This window comes from Homo sapiens, chromosome 17 (assembly GCF_000001405.40).
Source record: "Homo sapiens chromosome 17, GRCh38.p14 Primary Assembly".
Lineage (NCBI taxonomy): Eukaryota > Metazoa > Chordata > Mammalia > Primates > Hominidae > Homo > Homo sapiens.
In genome coordinates, this window is record NC_000017.11 from 12,631,813 (window position 1) to 12,658,655 (window position 26,843).

Here is a 26,843-nt window from a genome sequence, read left to right on the forward strand (position 1 = left end):
ATAGGGGAGAGAACAGGTAAAGGAAGAATTGACAAGATGTCTGAAAAAAAATAACCAGGCCGGGCCCAGTGGCTCATGCCTGTAATCCCAATACTTTGGGAGGCCGAAGTGGGTGAATCACCTGAGGTTGGGAGTTCGAGACCAGCCTGACCAACATGGAGAAACCCCATCTCTACTAAAAACACAAAATTAGCCAGGCATGGTGGCGCATGCCTGTAATCCCAGCTACTCAGGAGGCTGAGGCAGGAGAATCGCTTGAACCCGGGAGGCAAAGGTTGCCGTGAGCCGAGATCGCGCCATTGCACTCCAGCCTGGGCACCAAGAGCGAAACTCCGTCAAAAAACAAACAAACAAACAAAACCCCAGCACTTTCTCTGTGCCAGGCACTGTTCTAAGTGCTTTACACTTATTAACTCTTTTACATTATGACAATTCACAAAGCCCACATTATTGCCTTCTCTGAAGAAGTAAAGCACAGAGAGGTTAAGTAACTTATCCAAGGTCAACACAGGTGGTATGTAGAGGAACTGAAATTCAGACTGAAGCAGTCAGGCTTCAGAGTCTGTGTCCTTAAAGACAATGTGATGGCAGTTGTAACTGAGGGACTGGGATAGCCAACCTCTCCTGTCCACAGAACCCTGTTCCAAATCCCATTTAGAGTCCTCAGATCCCCACTGCTCAAATCCCTTCTCTGTACTTTCTACCCGTCTGCTCCTGCCTGTACGCTCTTATTAAAGTATTTCTGAATGCCTAGCTTGGCTGGTCACCCCTCCTCCAGGTATAACCCCTGCCTAAATCCCCTGACCTATGAGACCTCAAGTCCTGTCCCTATTGGGCCTGACACCCTTGATGACACGGTCTCCAGTGAACCAGCCAAAGCATTGTTTTTCCACAGACCATGGCACCTGCAACAGCACCTCTGGCCTGTTTCTCACCAATTCATCTCATTTGCGTTCCAAGCTGATGGAGTCCCAGGTAGAATGCAGCAAGATGAACATGTCTGAACCTTAATGTCAGCATATAGGGGTTCGACAGACAGCTACTATGAGAGAATATGCAAAGTCACATGAAATTGAGGTACTTACCAGCGGATACGTGTGGGGTGGAGTTGGAGGCTGATGCTGAATGAATTCAGACACTCCTTGTCTCATCGCTGTTGAAAACTAGAAGTCTTCACTAAGCCAAGAAACTCCCTGGGGCTTAAGTTCTAGCCTTAGTAGAATGACCTTTGCAGATGGAAATAACAGCACAGAACTCTTGAATTGACGCATAAATAGTTCCAACCCTGAATATCCTCCTTGATAAACCACATGATATTGGAAATTTTTATTTTGTAAACAATACACTCCAAGCAGATTTCCCTCCATAGAAGTTCTAATCTAATGACAAGATTTGCCCCTAGTTGAGAGAAGGGGACAGTAGGGAAAGCCCTGGACTTGAGGTTAGTTGCGTTGGGAAGTGTAGTGGTTACAAGGCTGTAACTCCCAGAGCCGACCAGCTTCTGGGAGTGTTGGGGGCTTCTGGCTCTCAGCTGAATCCTATTCAGAGATTTGCTCTCAGCTAATGGGAATCACCCAAGCTTACATCTTCTTCCTAGGAACACATCTATCCAATAACTGGTTCTGGGGATGGGAGAAAAAAAAAGGCCTGATCTCATCTCTTTAAGGCAGGACAACTCTGAAGGATTATCCCAGATCCAGAGTTCCCTGGGATTCAGGGCCAGAACTAGGGTGAGGTGAGTGAAGAACTTGACTGAGATGCGAAATTTAAGGGAGAACCAAAAAATCTCAATAAACAAGCAAATAAATATTTAAATCAATATTTTAAAAAGTTAATGCAAAAAGTTTATAATAGAGTATTAAAATTTTGTGTGTGTGAGACAGAGTCTTGCTCCGTTGCCAGGCTGGAGTGCAATGGCATGATCTCCGCTCATTGCAACCTCCGATTCCCTGGTTCAAGCAATTCTCCTGCCTCAGCCTCCCAAGTAGCTGGGATTACAGGCAAGCACCACCACGCGCAGCTAATTTTTGTATTTTTAGTAGAGACGGGGTTTTACCATGTTGGCCAAGATGGTCTCGATCTCCTGACCTCGTGATCTGCCCACCTTGGCCTCCCAAAGTGCTGGGATTACAGGCGTGAGCCACCACGCCCGGCACAAAATATTTTATAGGGCTGTGGGCATAGTGGCTTTCTCCCGCAATCCCAGCATCTTTGGAGGCCAAGGAGAGAACATGGCTTGAGAACAGGCATTTGAAACCAGCCTGGGCAATATAGTGAGACTCCATTGCCACAAATAAAAAAAAAATCAAATCAAATCAAAAATTGGCTGGGCATGGTGGTGTGTGCCTGTAGTTCCAGCTACTCAGGAGGCCAAAGTTGGAGCATGGCTTGAGCTCAGGAGTTCTAGGCTGCAGTGAGCTGTGATCGCACCATTGCACTCCAGCCTGAGCAACAGAGTGAGACCCTTCCTCTAAAAAATTATAATCATAAATTTTTTTAAAATGTGGTAAATGCAAACCCTGACAGGATGGGGATTAGGGTGGGGCAAGTGAGGTCAGCCATGTAAATACAGGGTTGGATTTTGCCTTTTATTTGAAATTTTGGTTCTTTGTTCATCATGATTTTTTTTTACATTAGTTTAAACGTTTGAATACTGCATTAAAATATGTATCTTGATTACTGAGTTTTCTGGCACCCTGACATTTTGCCCTGAGGCGAGTGCCTAATAGGTCTTACTCTGCTTGAATCTGCTGAGACCTCGATCGGAAACACGTCACAGTTTAACTTCTCCTCATGCTCTATCCTGCTTTCCTCACTCCTTTGTAGGAATTATTTCCAAGCCATTCCCTGGAAAGCCTCCTGCCCCCAAACCCAACATTGGCAGAGTCACTTTTCTAGGGGCCCCCACCGAAGACAGGGAGATTACTTGGTAGTTTTGAAAGTTTATGTTTTAGACAAAGCTACATTTGAAGCTCAGCCCCCTGACCTACCAGAAGTGGGACAAGGCATGCAGTTTCTGAATCTCAATTTTCCTCTATTATCAAACGAGAAAAGCAATTCCTCCCTCTCATTTAATCCTGGAGTGCTAAGAGGAGTAAATGAGCTATCCCAGGCAAAGAACTCCATTTAGTGGTTTGTAGCAAATAACAGGTGTTCAGGAAATGTTATTATCCCTTCGTGTGTTTCAGCTTTGCCTTTCCTGGAGCCCTTAAACAGGCTGAAGTGAAAAGCACCATGACCTGTCACTACAAGACGAGAAGCCTCAGGAGAAGGAAGGAGATCCCTTTTCATTGGTTTTGCCGAGTTTCCCGAGCTCCATCCTCCTACAGTTAAATCAACACTCTTTATCCTTAGACTGCTGATAATCTCACCAACCGCTTCCTGGTAAGATCTGTAATGCGTGAGGTCTTCCTTCTTAGTTGTTTGCAAACATCAGTGATTAGGGACAATTAGGGACTGGTGTGCCTGTCATTCTTCTCCTTTCAGCTGAGGAGGAAATCCTCATGCACCGTTATCGGGAGTGAGACTTCATCTGTCAGCTGCAGTCTCAGGAATCCACGGGTTCATTCAGTCGCAACTCTAATCTCACTAACTTTATCTGTGTTCCTCAAATGCCTTAGACTATTTGCTTCCCACTGATAGGGAAACCTGACATCTCATTTTCTCAGTGTCCAGACAAAGATTCGTACATAGCAAGAAACTAAGATAGGTGTTACAGAACATGGAGGGAACCAGGAAAACCAAATAGAGGACCCCCTTCATGGGGCTTCCAACACGACAATAGGCAAAAGAGAAGAAACATACATGTAAGAGACAAGCAAAACCCAGAACCATCACTTATGAAGGATGTCCTCATCACCCTCTTTTGCTGCCTGTCAAAACCGGTGAGGGCTCATATGACACCTTAATTATGAATTAATCTTCGTTCCTCCTACACCAGCACTTCCCCTCACCCCAGTCGAAGCCATCTCTTTATATTTCCATAGCTTAAAATGCTATTTTTGGTTCTAGATGCTTTGCCTCTAGATTTGGATACTGCATCCATATTGTTGTATATTTTTTCCTTTCTATCTTTTCCACAATGTTTTTTTTTTTTAACTTTTAAGTTTAGGGGTCCAAGTGCAGGTTTGTTACATAGGTAAACTTGTGTCATGGGGGCTTGTTGTACAGATTATTTCATCACCAAGATATTAAGCCTAGTACCCATTAGTTACGTCTTTCTTCTCCCACCCTCCACCTTCCAAAAGGCCCCAGTATGTGTTGTACCTCTCTATGTGTCCATGTGTTCTCATCATTTAGCTCCCACTTATAAGTGAGAACGTGCGGTATCTGGCTTTCTGTCCCTACGTTAGTTTGCTAAGGATGATGGGCTCCAGCTTCATCCATGTCCCTGCAAAGGACATGGTCTTGTCCTTTTTTATGGCTGCATAGTATTCCATGGTGTATATGTACCAATTTTGCTTTATTCAGTCTACCATCGATGGGCATTTAGGTTGATTCAATGTCTTTGCTATTGTGAATAGTGCTGCAATGAACATACACGTGCAGGTGTCTTTATCATAGAATTATTTATATTCCTTTGGGTATATATCCAGTAATGGGATTGCTGGGTTGAATGGTAGTTCTGTCTGTAGGTATTTGAAGGATCACCACACTGTCTTCCGCAGTGGCTGAACTAATTTACACTCCCACCGGCAGGGTCAAAGCATTTCTTTTTCTCCACAACCTCGCCAGTGCCTGTTGTTTTTTGACTTTTTAATAATAGCCATTCTGACTGGCGTTAGATGGTATCTTGTGGTTTTGATTTGCATTTCTCTAATGACCAGTGATGTTGAGCTTTTTCTCATGTGATTTTCAGCCACATACATGTCTTCCTTTGAAAAGTGTTCATGTCCTTTGCCCACTTCTTTATGTGGTTGTTTGTTTTTTTCTTGTAAATTTATTTAAGTTCATTATAGATGCTGGATGTTAGACCTTTGTCAGATGCATAGTTTGCAAAAATTTTCTCCCATTCTGTAGGTTGTCTGTTTACTCTGTTGATAGTTTCTTTTGCTATTCCACAATGTTTTGTGCAAGATAAGTGCTTAGCAAATGCTTGTAAAGGAATGCCTGCACCAGGAAAGTCCAATAGCTATGAATAAAGAAAGAAAGGACAAGTTCCAGGGGAGGTGATTTTTTTTTCATTTTCATTTTTTTAGACAGCTTTTAAAGGAATGGAGTAGCATGTTCTTCTGGAGCAGGAGTTACAAATTGGACCTCTAAGGGCCACATTCAGCCTATCCACATGGTTGCAGCACTGACAGAGTGTTTTGAAATTTTAAACTCTGAATACTTGTAGATAACATATGCATGCCACAATAAACTGCATTTCCATCACCTCATGCTGCTCTTGGCGTCTATGACACATGCCTGACTCACAGGCCATTTGAATTCGAGAGTCTGGCTCTGCAGCCTGCTGTCTATAGCATTTCCCTCTCCAGAGTAAGTTCTCCCTGGCCAAAGCATGTTGAGGATTAGGTAAATGTGTGTGTGTTTCTCTAATTTCTCTAGTCTTCTTCTTCTTCTCTTTTTTCTTCTCCTTCTCCTTTTTCTTCTCCTTCTCCTTCTCCTTCTGCTTCTTCTCCTTCTCCTTCTCCTTCTTCCTCTTCTTCTTCTCCTTCTCCTCCTCCTCCTCATTCTTCTTCTTCTTCCTTCTTCCTTCTTTCTTCTTCTTCAGACAGAGTCTCACTCTGTCACCCAGGCTGCAGTCCAGTGGTGTGATCTCTGCTCATTGCGACCTCCACCTCTGAGGTTCAAGTGATTCTCCTGCCTCAGCCTCCCAAGTAGCTGGGATTACAGGTGCCCACCACTACACTCGACTAATTTTTGTATTTTTAGTAAAGACGGGGATTACTATATTGGTCAGGCTGGTCTCGAACCCCTGACCTCAGGTGATCCATCTGCCTCGGCCCACTAGTCATCTTCTTAAATGTAGATTAAGACCTTTTATTTCTAGGCCAATACCAGATCTGGGAAAAAACATAGCAATCATTCAGGGACAACCAAATAACAAGGCTTTATTCCAATTAATCCTCACAACAACCTTGAAATTAGGCATTATCATACCCATTTTACATATGAGCAAACTGAGGCTCAGAAAAGTTAAATAACTTGCCCAAAGCTACAAGAGCTGGGAAGCATGGGAAACAGAATTCAAACGTAGATCTGAGTGCTTCCCATACCCTTAATCTTCTCATAATTTGGAATTGCCAGGGAGGCAAGCAGGCATGTAGAACGTTCATTTCCACAGGCAGAGTTGCAGGGCGAGATGTGACCCGTGTTCCATGACACGTGTTCTGAGCAGCACAGGGGTCTGTATACAAGTAATTCCTGTTTATCTGCAGCAAGGCAGGCAAGTCATGTGCAGATAATCCAAAAATAGTTTCTAATTTTTCTTGGGATAAATATAAATTTTTGGCAACAGGCACCCCTTTCAAAGTGTGTTTTGATTAGAGTTACATGAAAAGACATTTTTATTCTCTGAGGATGTGCCAGCTAATGGGCAGAAGGGAACTAAGAAGAGTGCCAGCCTGATCTCCCTTCTCCCCTCCAATAAAAGGGCTGTGTACGGTCTACAGAGCCGCTGGTGAAAGACTTGGGGTGGAAATACAGCACCTGGGCTCCGGCTGACTCTCCACCACTCTCGAATGCAAAACCCAACTCAACACTCCTCTTTTTACTGATGAGGAACTAAGATCGGGTTGTGAGGTGTCTTGGCCAAGATCACATGGCAAAGTAGTAGAGAAATGGAATTCAGAATCTAGGTCCCTTAACTTCCTCTTTTTTCAATATAAATTCTCCTTTCTGATTTTAATGTCAGACAGCTCCAAAGTCAGTAATGGCCAGGAGCTGAGACAAAGAGATGTTTGCATATAATTCAAAGTATGGACCCAAAATATGAGAGACAGAAAATGATAGTTGTGCAAATCTGTTCTAAGCCCAGAAGCTGGGCTTCCATGAATACCTCTCTTCTGACAACTCATTAGGAACCTGGAGACAGTAGAGAGGCAATCTGTGCAGAGTAGACGGAGCTGAACCATGGGGGCAGGCAGACCTGTGTGATTGTGGACACATTACTTAAACTCTCTTGGCTTTTTCTCAACTGCAAAATTCAATTACTGTGAGAATTCATGGTGAGCATAGAAGCATCTGGCCTAGAAAAGCCTCATTGCAAATGGATGGTCTTGTTCCTGGGACTCAATGCAAACAAATGGTCAGATTCAGTCCCTGTGGCTGAATCTGGCTCCTGTTGAGTGATTTATTGATTAGATTTATTGATTTGGTGATTTACTGGCAGATCTCCAAAGTATCTCCTTCTAAACAAATGCAATAGATGGAAGAGAAATCAATATATTAGCATGGAAAGGAAAATAAGATCTATCCTTCCTGACCCTCAAACTCAAAACCTATACTCTTCTGTCCCACAATCAGTTGTAAGAGTGGAAATTGTGACGTAGTGGGCAGGGAATGTGTGAAAGGAAAGAAGCAGGAAATGAAGCAACCCTAGGGCCTCCTCTTCTGAGTGCCCAGGCTCAGGTAGACCAAGGTTGACCAAAGTTGCCCAGCCAGTGCAAAGAGGAGGGTCATTCTGCCCAGAAAAGACAAACCAATGAGCACTCATGTTTCTGCCTTTAAGATGAGACCTGAGAAGGCCAAAAGTTTGCCATTAGCATGTTCTTTAACTGTCATTTATTTGACTTTAGTTGAGACTTAGGAATGATCGGACAAGATTTAGTAACCCCATTTTATAGATAAGGAAACTGAGGCTCAAGGAGGTGAAATAACTTCTCTAGGTGTACACAGCATGTAATGGTAGAGCTGCTATTAGAACCTGCTTTACTATGAGGAACCATTCATATGCCTTGTAACTGTTTAAGACAGAAGCTATATCTCATTCGTCTTTGCATCCTTAGTGTCTAGTAGACAACAGGGCTTCGGTAAGCAGTTGCTGAAGGAATTAATCTCTTATGTATTGTGCTACCATGCATGTATTTGAGTAAGTCCAGTGTTATAAATCATCTTTCTATCTCACAGAGCATGTTACCTCAGAAAATCTCTATGATCACAAACCGAGCCAAGAATAAATTAGACAAATATTTATTTAGCCATATTAAAGACAGTCTTTCCATACAAATGTTCTTACATAATCATAATTTATCAATCATTTAAAAGTCAACTGTAAGCCTGGTATTAAACAAAATCAAGAGGCCTGCCTGAATTATAATTCTTCATGAAAAACTGAAGTTGCTTCATCCAGAGGCCTTTTTTGCATAGTGAGATACATTTGACATAATTAGGTGGGAACCTGATAAGGAGTTGAATCAACTGGGGATGTTTTTGGAATTAAAGATGCCAATTTCAGAATTTAATCTGTGAACAGCTCTCAGTCCATGATTTCATAGTTTTCTAAGATAGCATATTTTGGACAAAGGCAGTTCTTTGTGGCCAAAAAAAGGTCTTTTGTTCCTTATATGAAGATAACTCTGTCCGTCCATCATGTTTGAGCCCTTCACCCTTGACTTGTATTTGCACCTATGTGTGATTCTTCACACTGCTCCATTCTCTCACCTGCCTCACTGCCTATGAACACAAGACTCTGGGAGCAAGTGTGGGAAGACAAGGGGGAGAAAGGGATCAGCAGTTTTGCAGCATGAAACAGCTGACCTGGCCCTTGAGCATGGGATCTCTAACCCCATCACTAAACATGCAAGTTGATAAGTAGGATGTAGTTTCATTTCCTGATTCTATGCCATTCTGTAAAGAATTAGAAAAGTCCCTGATTGACATTCTAGTGGGGAAAGGGGGAAGGTGGAAAATGAGAAAGTACAGAATCATCAGAGGGGTATATTAGTTTGCTAGGGTTGCCATAACGAAGTATCGCAGACTGGATGGCTCAAAAAACAAATGTGTTTTCTCATGGTTCTGGAGGCTTCAAATGCAAGATCAAGACATCAGCAGGATTGGTATCTCCTGAGGCCTCTCTCCTTGGCTTGCAGATGGTCACCTTCTCACTGTGTCCTCACATGGTCTTTCCTCTGTGTATGTGCAACCCTGGTGACTCTGTATGTCCAAATTTCCTCTTCTTATAAGGACACCAGTCAGGTTGGAGTAGGGACTTAATACAATGACCTTAACAGCTTCATTTTAACTTAATTACCTCTTTAAAGGCCCTATCTCCAAATACAGTCATATTCTGATGTACCAGGGGTTAAGACTTCAACATATGAATTTGGAGAGGGGGCACAATGCAGCCCAGAACAGGGAGGAAGCGTCAAAAATACCAAAATCAAGCTTCAATTTCAGCACAGATTTTCTCAAGACATATTTAGACATTGGACATGGGAAAATGGAAAGCTAACTATGTTTTCTATGAGCAGTCATATGCTGGTAAATGTTTAACAAGCATCAGTCAGTGGCAGAGCAGGGAGCCATGATTTGTAGTGTTTGCCAATTTCAGTGGTGTAAATACTCCCACCACCATCTATTTTCAGTTAGCAATGTGGCATCACTGAACACAGAGTTGGGAACGCAGATTCACAGAGATTGAAGCAGTTGAATCTCACAAACCAGTGGGAGCTGGATCCAGCATACCTGCTGATAATTAAAATGCAGAGTGATGTCATGGTGCCCTGGCCTGGCTCCCCCTTCCCACAGATGCCTCTAGTGTGAAGTCTCCACCTATTCTCTACAAGATACTGGATCTCTAATCTGGCAAACTAAAGATCTATAAATCTAAACATTCCCCTTTCCCTTCATTTGGACCTGAAATATTTAAGTACCAATACTCAAAATCCTTGATAGAGCCCACCTCATCTCTGAATACTGGACAAGTCATCTGTTCAAATGATTGTGAAGCAAAGCAGCAGGATGTCAAAATATTCATCAGTCCTCCAAAAGGGAACTGATCTGACAAATCAAAGAAAATTACCCCCATTTTAATAACAGTTATTAAAATAATCACAGGCAACTTTATTTCTAATACATATTTTCAAAACTATTCAGGAAGATTTCACATTTATAAAAATGGTCCCATAAAGGAAGCAATCTGACATCAGAAAGTATTTATTAGCAATTTTAAAGTGACAGATACCTTTTAAAATGCAGTATATAGCAAATGGATTCTGTCTAAAGTGGAATGATTTAATTACAGTGCAAGTTCAAAAAGTTTCCATGTAACTTGGCATATGAGATAAACACGATAAGGTATTAAGAAGATGAGGAACCCAAGGAGAATGATCCAGAAGATCTAGTAGTTATGTGTAACAAGAATTCCCGAGCGATCAGAGTATTCAAAAGATTAACAGTCAAAGAAATAGAAGAAAATTATTCCTGAACTAATAAAGACATGAATCTTCAGTGTAAAGGATTCACCAAGTATTGCACAATGAATGAACTGAAACACACATCCAGACATCTTTTGTTTTCCCCTTTTTTTTGTTTAAATTCAAGCTTTAGGGAGAAAACAAATCCCACAAGCATCCAAGTATGTTTAATATTTACCCACAAAAGAAAAAAGTCAATTCCACATCAAACTTCTTCTTCACAGTACAAACACCGGAAGTCAACTCTACAAATTTTAGATAAGAAAAAGCCATGTCAGAGGGAGATGCTCTCAGACGTGCAGAGACTTTCAAACTTCACCAGTACATCAGTTCCTGCAAAATAGACCAGAGAAGGTGCTTCCCGCAAAATAAACAGGTAAGCAAAATCTAAAAAGGTAATGCAAGATTGAAGAAGGCAAAGTGTAAATAAGAACAGTGATATTTAGACTAGAGGGAAGTTTCATGTTTTTTTGTTAAAATGCTTTTGAAACGAAATGCAAATGTAAGGACAATCCTTGCCAAAAATACTGTATAATGGAAAAATAAATTTTTAAAGGCTAATTATTTTCATCTGGATTTAATATTCTTGGTCATTTCAATACACTTAAGAGACATCATTAACCAATTCCTTCAAAATTTAACTCATATCTCACCTCTGTTCCCCATTCTTATTTCTAACACCCCAGTACAATCCCTCATTACATTTCAGCTAAATTACAAAGATAATTTCCTGACTTCTCTCCCAGTCTCCAGTTTTACACACTTCAATCCACCCTGCACAGATTAATCTTCTTAGAACACTATTTTTAGTATGTCATTTGTTGGCTCAAAATGTATATACAAGATGAAATTCAAACTTGCCAGCTTGTTATTCAAAGCCCTCTAAAGTCTGCCATGATCCTACCTTTATTTACAGGCTTATGCTGTACTACTTCTCAAAATGAACTCTCCATTCCAATACTGTCTATCTTTCCAATTGCCCTGAACCTTTTTTTTTTTTTTTTGAGACGGAGTGTCACTCTGTCACCAGGCTGGAGTGCAATGGCACGATCTCGGCTCACTGCAACCTCTGCCTCCCGGGTTCAAGCGATTCTCCTGCCTCAGCCTCCCAAGTAGCTGGGATTACAGACACAGGCCACCATGCCCAGCTTATTTTTGTATTTTTCGTAGAGACATGGGGTTTTACCATGTTGGCCAGGATGGTCTCGATCTCTTGACCTCATGATCCACCTGCCTCGGCCTCCCAAAGTGCTGGGATTATAGGCGTGAAACATATTTTAATCATTTCACCTTCTATACCTTTCTGTGTACACATTTGAAACCTCATTTCACCTCCTTCCACTTCTACCTTCCCTGCTCCAACCTCCAGTTTCAATAAGTCGTTCCTTTCTCCTCTTTAAATGTGGTCTAGCCCAGTCCACAAAGAAATTTTCCCCTTCAGAATATCCAGGGAATTAGTTGTTGTATTCTAATACGTAATCAATAAATCCTACCTTGTATCATTATTTGCCATATGTCATCAAAGTTAACACAATTATTGTGAGATAAATCATTATTTTATGTAAGACTAAAAAAGAAAAAAAAAACCTTTGCAAAGTACAGTGTGACATTCCATTGGTTTTAAGAGGTTTTAGTTTTTTAGTGATAGTAAAAGATGAAAATATGTGCATTTCAGGTTCCATAAGACACAGTAGGTGTTACATCTATTCCTCTGTTCACTCACTAAATATTTCTTTGTTGCCTACCGTGTGCTCAGCACTGTTCAGATTGTATTAGCAAACAAGGCTGATGAGGCCCCTGCACTCAAGCTCATATTCTGCTGAAAAAAATGACTTTTACCAGCTCCTCCCCAGGGATTGTGAGATCTTCAGAGACAAAGTACAAATAATGTCTTGGACTTTGTCACCCACAGAATGCAACATTTCTCTGTTTTGCACATAGTAAACACCCTAAATATTTAGTGAGTGAGACAATGAATGAGAAAAGGGGACACAGGATATGTATACACTCTATTGTAAACTCAGGCACAGGAGACTATACAATTTGTTAAAAGTAGTTAGATTGTAGGCCTTTCAATATGAATGCCTTTACACTACTTCATAAAATAGGAAGGAAGAGTTTCAACACAGGTGAGTTGAAGCAATCCTGTTACGTAGATGTGACTGCGGGAGGCCTCAAGGAGTCTCTGAGTGAATCAAATGAATACAGAGAATTATAATTAGTACATTATTCACGTTGATTTATGAAATTACTTTCTTCCCAGTTAATGAAAATAGCAAACCAACAGTCCCTTGTCATTGGCTGTCTTAAGATTTCTGGTTTTTTACTGTTGATGGGCCTAGAGTCCATGTCTAGAAATTAGCCTTTTTCTTGGGAATTCAATCAGTGGGGTGGTTAGTGGAATGCAGAAGTGAGCTTCCTAGGCAGGAGTGGGTACAGACTGTCACCCCACAGTCACATCTCAATGCAGTTTTGTCTCCCCTTCAACATTATGGAACCTGATATGCACATATTTTCATCTTTTACTATCACTAAAAAACTAAAGCCTCTTAAAACCAATGGAATGTCACACTGTGCTTTGCAAATTCAGGAATTTGGAGCTTCTTGAGATTGCAGGATGTATCCCTTGAAAACAGCAAGGGCACATTGTGAGTCTTGATTAGCTGGGGTTCCTCATTCTGGAAGTTCATCCTCTTTGAACACACTCCTTGGAGAACTGGGTGAAAGGAGAATCTCTTAGGCTGCTGTTGGTGCTCATTCCTTAAAGGGCTGATATCCAGAATCTACAAAGAACTTAAATAAATTCACAAGAAAAAATCAAACAACCCCATCAAAAAGTGGGTGACAGATATGAACAGACACTTCTCAAAAGAAGACATTTATGCAGGCAACAGACACATGAAAAAATGCTCATCATCACTGGCCATCAGAGAAATGCAAATCAAAACCACAATGAGATACCATCTCACACCAGTTAGAATGACGATCATTAAAAAGTCAGGAAACAACAGGTGCTGGAGAGGATGTGGAGAAATAGGAACACTTTTACACTGTTGATGGGACTGTAAACTAGTTCAACCATTGTGGAAGACAGCGTGGCGATTCCTCAAGGATCTAGAACTAGAAATACCATTTGACCCAGCAATCCCATTACTGGGTATATACCCAAAGGATTATAAATCATGCTGCTATAAAGACACATGCATACGTATGTTTATTGCGGCACTATTCACAATAGCAAAGACTTGGAACCAACCCAAATGTCCATCAATGATAGACTGGATTAAGAAAATGTGGCACATATACACCATGGAATACTATGCAGCCATAAAAAAGGATGAGTTCATGTCCTTTGTAGGGACATGGATGAAGCTGGAAACCATCATTCTGAGCAAACTATCACAAGGACAGAAAACCAAACATGACATGTTCTCACTCATAGGTGGGAATTGAACAATGAGAACACTTGGACACAGGATGGGGAACATTTACCTAATGTAAATGATGAGTTAATGGGTGCAGCACACCAACATGGCACATGTATACATATGTAACAAACCTGCACGTTGTGCATATGTACCCTAGAACTTAAAGTATAATTAAAAAAAAAAAAAAGAGATTTTCAGTGTGCTAGGCTCAGTGTTAAATATTGGAGTACATACAAAGAGAGGCAAATTCTTTTCAATACTCTCTTAAATTAGGACTTTTATACTTTTAATTGTTCTATCTGGTTTTTGGTTTTGATAGTCACAACCATCCAGTGTAATAGCTAGGGGATATCTTTGTGCATGTGTGTATGTGTGTGTATAAATATTTTTATTTTGCCATTTTTAAAGTTCACCAGAATTTACAGATTATTTCTATGTTATACATCTTTTTAATGGAGTTTTAATTCCATGCAATAAGGAAATAAATATTGCACTTGCCTCATGTCTTCCCACAATTTAAAATGAATCTCGTGATGTGAGCCCAAAGTGTAAAAACCATCTTCCTCATAGTGCCTCACGGATTGATTTGTGGGTTGCTGGATGTGGCTAAATTGAAAACCGCCCTAATGGGTCAGGGACTGTGTTAACTATGTTACAATGTTTTTACCTTTAATCCTCACCAGAGTCAACTCTAGAGGCTGGGAAGTCCAAGATCAAGGTGGCAGCAGATTCAGGGTCTGGTGAGGGCTTCTTCCTCATAGATGGCACGTTATATGTATCGTCACACGGAGAAAGGGTAGGGTACATCTTACTAGTCTCATTTAACAGATGATAAAACTGAGGCCCAAAGAGATGAGGCGAATTGCCAAAATTCAAATAGCAAAACAGGTCTCTCAAACTCAGCCCTCTTAACTGCAAATCCAACGCTCTTTGGCAGATAATGCATGTGAAGAGACGAGGATACGGTGAGCTGGAGGGAATTTTAAAGTGAATCCATAGAAAGGATGCATATTATTCCAGAAACATCATTCATACCTTTCATCCCAAACACACAAATCAAAGAGTCATTTCAAAGAGTACCAAAAGAATGGGATATCAAAAGGATCAAACATAAACGATATGTAGAGACTTCTGTGCAAACCCAATTAGCCAGAGAAAGTGATAGGAAAATTTTAAATGTCCCCAAAGTGTCCTATTTAACCCTCTGCCCTGGTCTATGGCTTGATCCTGACCAAAGAGCTCCAGATGGAATGGATAGAGAGTCTGGGGTCGGCGTGGGGTTGTGTTTTGACTGCAAGTTGGCATCTCGCCAGGCTGGGCCTTCACTCTGTCCCCCTGCATGACCCTAGCCCACTTTGGCTTGCCGAATTACTTAAATGTTGTACATTACTAGTTAATAGACACAACATATTGAAAGTTTTACAATCAAATATTTATGCGGCTAGAAAACATTTTACATTATCTTTAAACAGCCATGTCATCTATTTATTTTCATTCTCTGATCTTTCTGTTTTGTATCAGAATCAGAGAATTTAGCCTATTTACCCAGAAGTAAATATTATGATGAAAACATTGGGCGGCTCAAAAGTAGACTTAGTAAAATGCAGAAGTATTTTTTTGCCAGTGTCAATTGCACAACAGCCCCTGCATGGTAATAAATTAAGAAATTTCTAAGGGATGCTTGAAGTATGGTGGTTAAATACTTCATGGCTAGATACTGTCTCTACCTGCCTGATCCCCTGATGGCAGGATATACCTGGATACATCTAGCAATTCTTTCTGGCTATTCATTCTTTTCTGCAATAGAGAGAAACTCTCCTGGGGCAATGAGGCAGCATTTGCAGGCGACTCCAGTAAGGGAAATATATTTAATACTGAATCTTGGGCTTCAAGTAAGAGTTGATAGCCTATGGTCTGAAGAGTCCTATTGGTAGTTAATGGTCACTAAGTTTTCAGCTTGGCCTCCTCCTTTCTTGCTAGATATTTCTAACTTCTGAATGCTTCCCCCAACTCTGTCCTGTATGGTTGTTTTACTAGACTTCAAGAGCTAGTCCCATGTTTGTGCACTTATCTCTTCCCTGGAGAGGGTATCTCCTCTTATCACTGAATACTTCCAACCAGTATCTCCTCTTATCACTGGGTTAGAGAAAAAGACCCTCATTCTTCCTTCTTCCTTCTTTTTTTTTTTTTTTTTTTTGAGACAAAGTCTCACTCTGTCACCCAGGCTGGAGTGCAGTGGCGTGATCTCAGCTCACTTCAACCTCCACCTCCCGGGTTCAAGTGATTCTCCTGCCTCAGCTGCCCGAGTAGCTGGGACTACAGGTACGTGCCACCACACCTGGCTAATTTTTTGTATTTTTAGTAGAGATGGGGTTTCACTGTGTTAGCCAGGATGGTCTTGATCTCCTGACCTCGTGATCTGCCCGCTTTGGCCTCCCAAAGTGCTGGGATTACAGGCGTGAGCCACCGCAACGGCCCCTCCTTCTTCTTTTACATACCACTTCCAAAGAACATTCTTAAAGACATAAGGAAGGGGTCAGAATTTCAGAGGGCTAGAAAGCACCGTCCTCCGACGGGCCTCGATCCCCAGCCTCTGGCCTGAGGTGCTCAAGACCTAATTTCTGTCCCTTACCCTTAACCTGGTTCTTCTGTGCTATTTCTTGGGCGTTCTTGCTTCACCCAATTTCCTAATCTTTAACTGGACTCCCAGTCAGTCTTACATCTGTCTCACCCTCAGGGTGAAGGCTGGTAACCTGCCCCCTGGGGGTTTCTTCCTTACCAGAAGCCTCCTTAGACTTGAGGAAGGTGGTGTATGGGTTTAGGGCAAGTAGCACCTGTGTCGGAATGGATGCTCTCGTCAGTAGCCTTAGGCAACCCCCTAACCTCCCTGAACATCAGCTTTTTCCCCTACTATAGAAGAATGATGCATGAATAGTAGGATTGATGTAAGGAATAAATGTGGTTTATGTGTAAATAACCTCATACTATGTTTGGTCCAGAGTGAGGACTCATCAGCCAAGTAGTGGTAACTCTTACTCCTACTATTTGTGGTACAAATGCCCTGATTTCCTTAAAGATTCCCCCAGGCTTGATTTCCTCAATTTCTTCCTGATACTGACATGGTTTCTCTAAGTCATTACCTAAACATTAACTCTTAGTCGGTGATTCATAACTACAAGACGATGTGGAAGATAGATGGGTGAAAGAAAAAGAAAGAGAGCAAGAAAGAATGAGAAAAGATTGGCGGAAAATGCAGGTTAGAAAATCCATGCTTTAGAATAAAATATTCATAATTTTTTTTTTTTTTTTGAGATGGAGTTTTGCTCTTTTTGCCCAGGCTGGAGTGCAGTGGTGCTATCTCGGCTCACTGCAACCTCTGCCTCCCGGGTTCTTGCAATTTTCCTGCCTCAGCCTCCCGGGTAGCTGAGATTACAGGCATGCGCCACCACGCCTGGCTAATTTTGTATTTTTAGTAGACACAGGGTTTCACCATGTTGGTCAGGCTGGTCTCGAACCCCTGACCTCAGGTAATCTACCCGCCGCAGCCTCCCAAAGTGCTGGGATTACAGGCGTGAGTCACTGCACCCAGCCAAGTATTCATAATTTTAAGAATACAAATTCAGTAAAGTACAAATTTTTATTGAATATAAATTCAGAAAGTAAAGAAGACAGGTCCCTTTCTACAAGAAAAATAAGACATAAATGAGATAGGAATTACCCCAAACAGGAAAGAGCCCCTGGGTCACAGAAACCCTGGTTTGATTCCCCGAGTGAGTACCTGAGCAAATGGGTCCAGGGTCCATTTACACAGGTCTCAGCTTCCTTATCTCTGAAATGAGACGGTATAACCAGATTCATTGGACAAACGCTTAGCAACCACTCACTGATAACCTACTCTGGACAAATTCTGGGCACTGAGGTTTCAAAGGAGCACAAGAGAATTAAGGTTCCTGCTCGTATTCCAGTAGTAGAGACAGAAAAAAAAGTAGATAACTAAATGAAATCATTTTAATAATCAGGAACTTAAAATTAATTGGATTGTAATTATTTGGGAGGAGTGGGCTACTTAAGCCAGGAAGGTCAGAGAACTCCTTTCTGCCAGGCTGCTACTTCTGTGAATGGAGTCCAGGCATGCAAAGATCTGGGGGGCTGGACATTCCAGGCAGCGTGGACTGCAAATGGCCATGGGGTATGTGCAGAAGGAGAGGGGGCTAGTGTGGCCAGAGGTCAGTAAACAAGGAGAGCCTGGAGTGAGGTTAGCAGGGCAGGCAGGTGCCAGGCTCGTGGGGATTCTAAGTCAGCAAGGGGCAGAGGGCATGTAAAAATCGGGCAAATGGAGGTGATTCTGACAAAAAGGGATATTTACAAAGTTGTGGGTGGGATAGGAAAACCACCAAACATAGTAGGTAGGACAGCAGACCCCTGACCACTCTTAGCACTGAACAAACAGGAGAGAGTGGTCACTGGGACCACAGGGAGGGAGTCAAATAGAGGGAACTTCTTGACTGGAGCCCTGGCGGGGACCCTGGGAAACAAATGCCCTGACCTCACCCTTTGCCTCCCTCCAATCCCCAGCAGAACTCCCCATTAACTGGACACACTCAGAAGCTAAAGGGCAAAGGAGTCCACTAATGCAGGTCCTATTGACCAGCCTCCCTGCGGACCCCCCAGGGTGAAGAGTGGGACAAGAGGAGAAGGAGGAAGATGCAGAGGGGCAAAGCAAAGCTGTCAGGAGATAGAGCAGCCGTGATGAGGTGTTCGCTTTATGCTAAGGGCACTGGGAAGCTGCAGGAGAGTTTTAAGCAAGGGAATACTTGGAACTGATTTATGTTAAAAGATCTTTCTGGCTGCTGTGTGGAGCCAGAGTTTAGAGAGGCTAGATCAGAAGTTGGGAGAATATTTAGGAGGCGATTACACCATTTAAGTAAGAAATGCATGCTAATGTGGTTCAGCATGATGGCTGAACATAAAGAGAAATAAATGGATTTGGGATCCACATTGGTATGAAAATTAAAAAAAAAATAAACCCAACTTCTACCATTGCCGTGAGCTAAAGTGAAGCTTTCATGCAGCCCTAATGGAAAATGAGAACATATGTGCACCGTGCATGCTGCAAACCCCGGAACTTCTGGCCAGTGCCAACTCATGTTGCTTTTACGGTGCAAAGAGCATTGAGATAAATTTATCAGCTCTATGCCATTTTTATTTATAATAAGGAGAACGAAAATAAAAGAATTTTCCAAGCCCGGCATGTAGAAAAATGATTTGTTCAGTCGACCCGACAAATAACAAATAGTAAAGTCTTCCAGTTTTATTGTTGGCATTATCATAAAGAACAGGCTGTGCTTATTATCTGGTTAAAGGGGGTTCGTTCTGTGTGATGTTGAAGTGAGTTATAATCTTTAATAAACAAATAACATCGGTATTTTTTTAATTTCATAGTCATGAATGTTTGTAGAATTGTCTTTTCTCTCTCTCTCTTTGGTGATGCTTTTGTCAGACGTCAGAAATGCTTTTGCTCTGTCCCCAGACATGGGGTGTCATTTCCAACTATAGAGTCGTGAGGCTGTTTCTAAATTCCATCAATGCTTCTTCAAGGACCAGGCTACACCAGTGATGGCAGCTTAATGGCACCTGTCATAATACCAATCCCAAGACATTAATTCACTCCTGGGAAGTCCCAGTGTCCCGTAATAAACCTGTGTAGACTATTAAAGTTATATTCTTATGTAAGGGAAGCCTAGCACAGAACGAGGTCATAGAGCAAAGAGAACCATGGAAGGATGGTTTGGTCCCTCTGCACATAAAAGATGTAACAAATATTGTAGAGAGAACTGATCATTTTTTGCAAAATTTACGTGTAAGGATCAAAACCCCTAGTATTTTTTAAAACAAAGAACAAATATGTGAGTACTTCAGACACATCTGAGGTCAAATGTCAGCCCCTATGCTCACCAAATTGCTTCACCTCTGTAAGCAGGGCTACCCCTAGAAGATGCAAGGGCTTTGCATGAATATATATATATATATATATATATATATATATATATATATATACACACACACACACACACACACATATACACAAATATATATATACACACACAAATATATATATTGTATATATATTTGTATAGTGTGTATTTGTATATATGTGTGTGTATATATACTATATATTATATATTATATATAATTTATATATATTTTATATATTATACATTATATATAATATATATTATATATATTATATATAATATAATATATATTATGTATAATATATATTATACATAATATATATTATATTATATAATTTATATTATATTATATTATATATATTATATAATATAATATATAGATGGGATCCCTGCTATATATTATATAATATATATTATATATCATATATAATATATATGATATATAATTATCATATATAATATATATTATATATCATATATAATATATATGATATATATTATACATTATATAATATATGTTATTATAATATATAAAATATATATAATATATGTTATAATATATAAAATATATATAATATATGTTATAATATATAAAATATATATAATATATGTTATTATAATATATAAAATATATATAATATATGTTATAATATATAATATATATAATATATGTTATTATAATATATAATATATATATAATATATGTTATAATATATAATATATATAATATATGTTATTATAATATATAATATATATTATATATATATAGCAGGGATCCCGTCTATATAAATAATTTGAGTCACTCAAAATCACGTCAGCTCCACCCTTGAGGCCTAATCTTGTGCCGATCCCACAGAAGAAATAATGCACAAGCCAAAGGAAGTTATCAGCTCACTAGGCTACCCTCCTGAAGTCTGGTCATGGGGACCCAGGACAATTCATTAGGCTCAAGTTTCAGAGCTCATTTGGGCATCTTGTTGATCCCACCACAGGACAGAGGGTTGGAGAGTACCCTGAGGGAAAGCAACAGGAACTTGCCCACCCTATGTGAGGGTCCCACCCTATGTGACATGGAGTCAGAACACCTAGCCAAGATGCCACCTCTCGCCTCCACAGTTCCCAGGTACCACAGGAAGACTTAAACTATTTCAAGAGAGGCACTCCAAAGTACAGGAGGATGCCTGAGATGTGGCATCTAGGATGGAGGCCCTACTTGCATTGGTCTAAGGATGGTACTCTCTCTGAACCTCAATTTCCCTATCCGTAGGATGGGAATAAAAATTTTACCTCTTGCTAAGGTTATTGTTAAGTGTTAAGTGAGATAATACCACCATTCAGATTCCTAGCATATAGTAAGCATTCTCTCCATATTGGCTAATGTTGTACTCATGTGTGTATATGTAAATACATACATGTAAATAAGGATGTTGCAGCCCAATTTCAGAAAACTTTTTGAAGACAGATGTGTTCATCAGCATTTAACTTTGGGCTCTGTTCCTCAGCGGGTGTGGTGATATGCCTGTCTTCAAAAACTACTGGTGAGCAACCTCAAATACAGCCAAAGGAAAAAAAAAGAGGACACAAAAAATCTTTAGCACTATTAGCTCTAGTTTCACAGAGTTCTGGCCAAGCAGATATTCGTCTGCAGGGTTTATTTTTTTTCTTTTCAAATAGGGCAAAAACAATACTTCCAAAATCTAAATGCCTCAAAACCGAATATAATTGTTTCCATTGTTATAATTAACTTAAGCATGAAGCATTCCTCATTTATATTTTGAGTGAAGCCTTCAGAAAACTCAGAAGCCTGCTAACCCAGGCCAGCATCTCAGGGGTTCTGATGGCAGCATCCCTGGAGATTGCCCCACCCCCCTTGCAGGGGCACCACAGCAACCACGAGGCACTGATTTCATGCAGTGCCAGCCTGGTCTGATGGAACTGGATGCCGTTTAAATGATATTGAACTTTCCCCTGGTTTGTAATTGGTCTGGATGTTTTACCACAAAAAAATAGTTATTTCCCAAAGGATCACCATTACAGAGTCTGAATATGTGGCATTTGTAGAGTACTTTAGAAGAGAAGAGGTGTTTCTTTGCACTTTAGCTTTGCCTGTAAATGGATTGGTTGATGTGTAGGGATTCTAGCATTATCATCGTCATTGCCATCACCACCACCATCATTATCATCATCGTCATCAACATCATCATCATGGCTCTCATTTGTAGGAAATCTACCATGTACCAGGCTCTGTCCCGAGTGTTTTCTTTATATCTGTTTACCCACGGAATTCTCTCCATAACCTATGAGCTAGATATCCTTGCTTACAGATGAAGAAACCAAGACACAAAGAACAGAGAGGTTAAGTTAGTTGCCCAAGGTCACACAGGTAATAAAAGGCGGAGTTAGGGAATTGCATTCTGGTGCCAGGCTCCAGAACCCATATCCTTTGCCATAACTAGCCTCTGTGCTGGTATTGCCAAAGATGAAGACTTAAAACATGTATACAAGATATACAAGATGAAGACTGACAGAGCTACCAATGACTAGGTGTTTCATTCATCTTCTTTCCAAACCGAAACCATCTGCAGTCACATACATTTTATCGGATCTTCTAGGATTCTCATTTGGTCATTTTTAACAAATTTGCTGTCAAACACACTGGAAGATATCCTAGACTCGTGTCTTGAAAGCCATAGACACAGTTACTGTTCTTTAGTTTTAAATGATAATGTAACAAAATCCTGTTTTTATTAATGGAATGGGTTAGTACCAAGGTCAGTTCGTAATAAAGAATTTTCCAGAAAAAAAGAAAAGGAATTGGCAACGTACTGTAAGAAAAGACTGCATGAGCCAGGAAGCAACTTAGAGATGTTTAAATTTTCCCTGACATGAATGCTGACCACCCAGGGGAATAAAAAAAAAACACCTGTCCCAGGCAGGCAGGGATTCAGGCAGGGTATGTGGATACCCAGAGAGGGAAACCTGAGCAGGCTTCTCAGTCATCTGTCACATTAGAGGCCCCATGTGTCCAAGAGTCACACAGAAGCCTTGTGACCAAGACCTGGTCTTAGGTCTGTCTCTAAGTAGAGAGGCCACTGTTGGTGAATCAGTGGTTCTTTGTCCTGTGTCCATTTTTTCAATGGTCCAAAAGTTTCTTAAATCTCTCAAAGGATTGAGATGAAAAATCGCAAAGGAAAATACACACGAACGGGCTTTAAAAAGTTAAAATTACTTGAGTTCATTGTAGATTCTGGATATTAGCCCTTTGTCAGATGAGTAGGTTGCGAAAATTTTCTCCCATGTTGTAGGTTGCCTGTTCACTCTGATGGTAGTTTCTTTTGCTGTGCAGAAGCTCTTTAGTTTAATTAGATCCCATTTGTCAATTTTGGCTTTGGTTGCCATTGCTTTTGGTGTTTTGGACATGAAGTCCTTGCCCACGCCTATGTCCTGAATGGTAATGCCTAGGTTTTCTTCTAGGGTTTTTTTGGTTTTAGGTCTAACGTTTAAATCTTTAATCCATCTTGAATTGATTTTTGTATAAGGTGTAAGGAAGGGATCCAGTTTCAGCTTTCTACATATGGCTAGCCAGTTTTCCCAGCACCATTTATTAAATAGGGAATCCTTTCCCCATTGCTTGTTTTTCTCAGGTTTGTCAAAGATCAGATAGTTGTAGATATGCGGCATTATTTCTGAGGGCTCTGTTCTGTTCCATTGATCTATATCTCTGTTTTGGTACCACATGCACACGTATGTTTATTGCGGCACTATTCACAATAGCAAAGACTTGGAACCAACCCAAATGTCCAACAATGATAGACTGGATTAAGAAAATGTGGCACATATACACCATGGAATACTATGCAGCCATAAAAAATGATGAGTTCATGTCCTTTGTAGGGACATGGATGAAATTGGAAACCATCATTCTCAGTAAACTATCGCAAGAACAAAAAACCAAACACCGCATATTCTCACTCATAGGTGGGAATTGAACAATGAGATCACATGGACACAGGAAGGGGAATATCACACTCTGGGGACTGTGGTGGGGTGGGGGGAGGGGGGAGGGATAGCATTGGGAGATATACCTAATGCTAGATGACACGTTAGTGGGTGCAGCGCACCAGCATGGCACATGTATACATATGTAACTAACTTGCACAATGTGCACATGTACCCTAAAACTTAGAGTATAATAAAAAAAAATAATAATAAAAAAAAAAAAGTTAAAATTACATATGACGTTGGAGAAAAGAAGCATAAAAACAGTGCAATTGTAAAACAGGAAGGTCCTTATCAAGACAAGCATATGACAGCTAAGGACTGTGAACTGCTGCTGGGACATTGGGCAGGTTATAGTCTGAGGACCGCTTGAGTCAGTTTCTATAAAACTAGCATATCTGCTCAAATCTTATGTGCAAAAAGGAATTTTGCTCCAAAAGCATTCAGTGGATCTGAATGTCCCTTGGCCATTTGCTGGATTGAATGATTATTTGTTAAGTTTCCTTCAACTGAACACTGGGTTCCTGAGACCGGCTTCCTGAGAGTATCGCTGGTGGACAAGCCTCCCACCGTGAATTTTCTTTACTGTTATTATAGCTGGTTTTAATAGCATTTGGAATTTTTCCTTTTCAGACATTCTCACTTGGAATGTACTAATTTTCATAGTCAGATGTTGGTTTTAGCTAATTTGTTGTAGCTCCTTGAATGGGCCATGCTATTTTCAGAGAGAGAAAAATATCTTTCCTAGTGCCCCCTAAAATGAAAAGCTCCCCTTCCTGACTCACAGCCCTGGAGATGTGGGGTGAGGTGAAGAGACTTAGAAAGCTCTGGGGGAATTTCTGTCCACTAAATAGTACCACCGGCCTTCCTCCTCCCCTTCCTCACTCCTGTTGCATACAGGGTGGTGCTTCACCATTCCTTAGCCATAATAGGCATCCTGAGTTAATGAGATGAGGCATGCATGATTTGTAAGGTCACCTGAAGCAGGTCAGGGATTTATGGGCCTCCATTCTGTTTTCTGCAAAGCGGGGGAGATAGTAAGCAAACTGAGAGAAAGGAGGAGTTAGGAAACAGAACACAACCAGTTGCAAAAAAGAAAGAAAGAAAAGGAAAACATTTAGAAGAGAAGGCAAACTCCCAGATCACACTTTATGAACCAGAAGAGGTTTAAGTGTATAATGTTGTATCAGGCCCTGAACAGAGTGAATCAGAACAAAACAGTTGCTGCATCCAAGCATCACACAACAAACCCCTGTTGGGCAGCTGCTTTTTGAAAGCCTCAATGTATCATGCCTTGGTAGAATTGAAGGATACAGGACAAGCCAGAGCTCTCAAGAAATGTGTAATCTATTCGCAGAAGAAAAGACAAAAGACAACAAACACTATTCTGTATATAATAATTCAAATACAAATTATGTCAAAGGGCGGTTTATTATGGAAAGAATAATAGAAAATTAGCAAAATAGTAATAAAAGGAAAAATAGATAATGGGTTATAAACATAAATGAAAACTATATTCCGGTGCTCCAGGAGCCTTCAAACTAGTGGAGGAATTTTTTTATGCTAAAAAGTAATTGATGGCCCAGGCATGGTGGCTCATGACTGTAACCCCAACACTTTGGGAAGCCGAGGCACTCAGATCGCTTGAGCCCAAGACCACCCTGGGCAACATGGCAAAATCCCTTCCCTACAAAAAATACAAAAATTAGCTGGGTCTGAGGCTGAGGTGGGAGGATCCCTTGAGCCTAGGGGGTGGAAGCTACAGTGAGCCAAGATCACGCCATTGCACTCCAACCTAGGCAGCAAAGTAAGACCTTGTCTAAAATAAAATAAAATAAATAAAATAAAATAAAATAAATAGTAAAGTAAAATAAAATAAAATAATAAAATAAAAGTAAAGTAAAAAATAAAAATAATTGATGATACTTTGAAAATGCAATAACAGGCTGGGCACGGTGGCTCACACCTGTAATCCCAGCACTTTGGGAGGCCAAGGTGGGTGGATCACTTGAGTTCAGGAGTTCGAGACCAGCCTGACCAACATGGTGAAAGCCCATCTCTACTAAAAATAAAAAAAATTAGCCGGCATGGTGGCAGGTGCCTGTAATCCCAGCTACTCAGGAGGCTGAGGCAGGAGAATTGCTTGAACCCGGGAGGTGGAGGTTTCCGTGAGCCGAGATCGCACCACTGCACTCCAGGCAGGGTGACAAAAGCAAAACTTCGAAAGAAACAAAGAAAGAAAGAAAGAAGAGAGAGAGAAAGAAAGAAAAAGAAAGAAGGAAGGAAGGAAAAGAAGGAAGGAAGGAAGGAAACGAGGTTGGGAAGAAAGGGGAGGAAATAAAGTAGGAGAAATTGACAAGGGCCATAGTATGTGGGGCTTTCTATGTCACACTTAGGAGCATGGACATAACCCTTTGGCACAAGAGAGCCAAAAAGGAGTTTAAGCAGGAAGCAGTGTGATCCGCCTTATGATTTAGGATTATCACTTTGATGACAACGTGGAAGATGGACTGGAGCAGGGAAAGCCTAAGAGGAAGAAGACCACTCAAGAGACACATGCAGTAAACCAGGGGAAAAGTCAACAAGAGCTTGAAGTAAGTAAGAGGCATTAGGGATAAATAAAGGAGGTACATTCAATAGGTATTTAGGGAGGAGAATGGATGTGGCGTGGTGATCGATTGAGGATGGAGAGAATGCAGAAACGTAGATTGTGGCCATCGTCCCCAAACCAGTCATTAGGTGGATACTTTTCCCCATTCATTGGAATGAGCAGGAAAGTTCAGGAAAGAAAGTGTGGGAAAAGGATTAGGTCTGAAGGAAAACTTGATGAGAGGAAGTGGTTAAATTTGGTTTTGCACCTCTTATTGTCAAAGAGCTTTTGGGAAATCAAGTGGAGAAAGCATTTGGATATATGGGTCTAGAGCACAAGAGAAGAATTTCAGAAAGATATACAGCTTTGGAAGGAGTTCTAAGAGGAAGAAAAGAAGCAGCAATGATCAATTTCAAGAGAACCTGGAAAAACAAAGATGGATAAATGTCTACTGGAAGACTGGGTGGTCTTTACTCACATTGGTACTGTT

The 26,843-nt window shown here is 40.7% G+C and overlaps 1 long non-coding RNA gene across 2 annotated transcripts in view, besides 1 other annotated feature; it reads left to right on the top strand.

Annotated features, from left to right (window-relative positions):
• The window catches only part of LINC00670 (long intergenic non-protein coding RNA 670), an 87,220-nt gene extending 81,845 nt beyond the window's left edge, over positions 1 to 5,375 (top strand). For both annotated transcript variants that reach the window (NR_034145.1, NR_034144.1), the window contains one exon: positions 3,189 to 5,375. This is a non-coding gene — a long non-coding RNA (long intergenic non-protein coding RNA 670). The remainder of the gene's footprint in view (positions 1 to 3,188) is intronic.
• Positions 5,766 to 6,265: an enhancer, noted in NCBI's record as "H3K27ac hESC enhancer chr17:12540895-12541394 (GRCh37/hg19 assembly coordinates)". NCBI's record gives its function as "activates a minimal SCP1, AML or CMV promoter by ChIP-STARR-seq in primed H9 embryonic stem cells {active_cell/tissue: H9 hESC(primed)}" and the evidence as "EXISTENCE:reporter gene assay evidence [ECO:0000049][PMID:30033119]".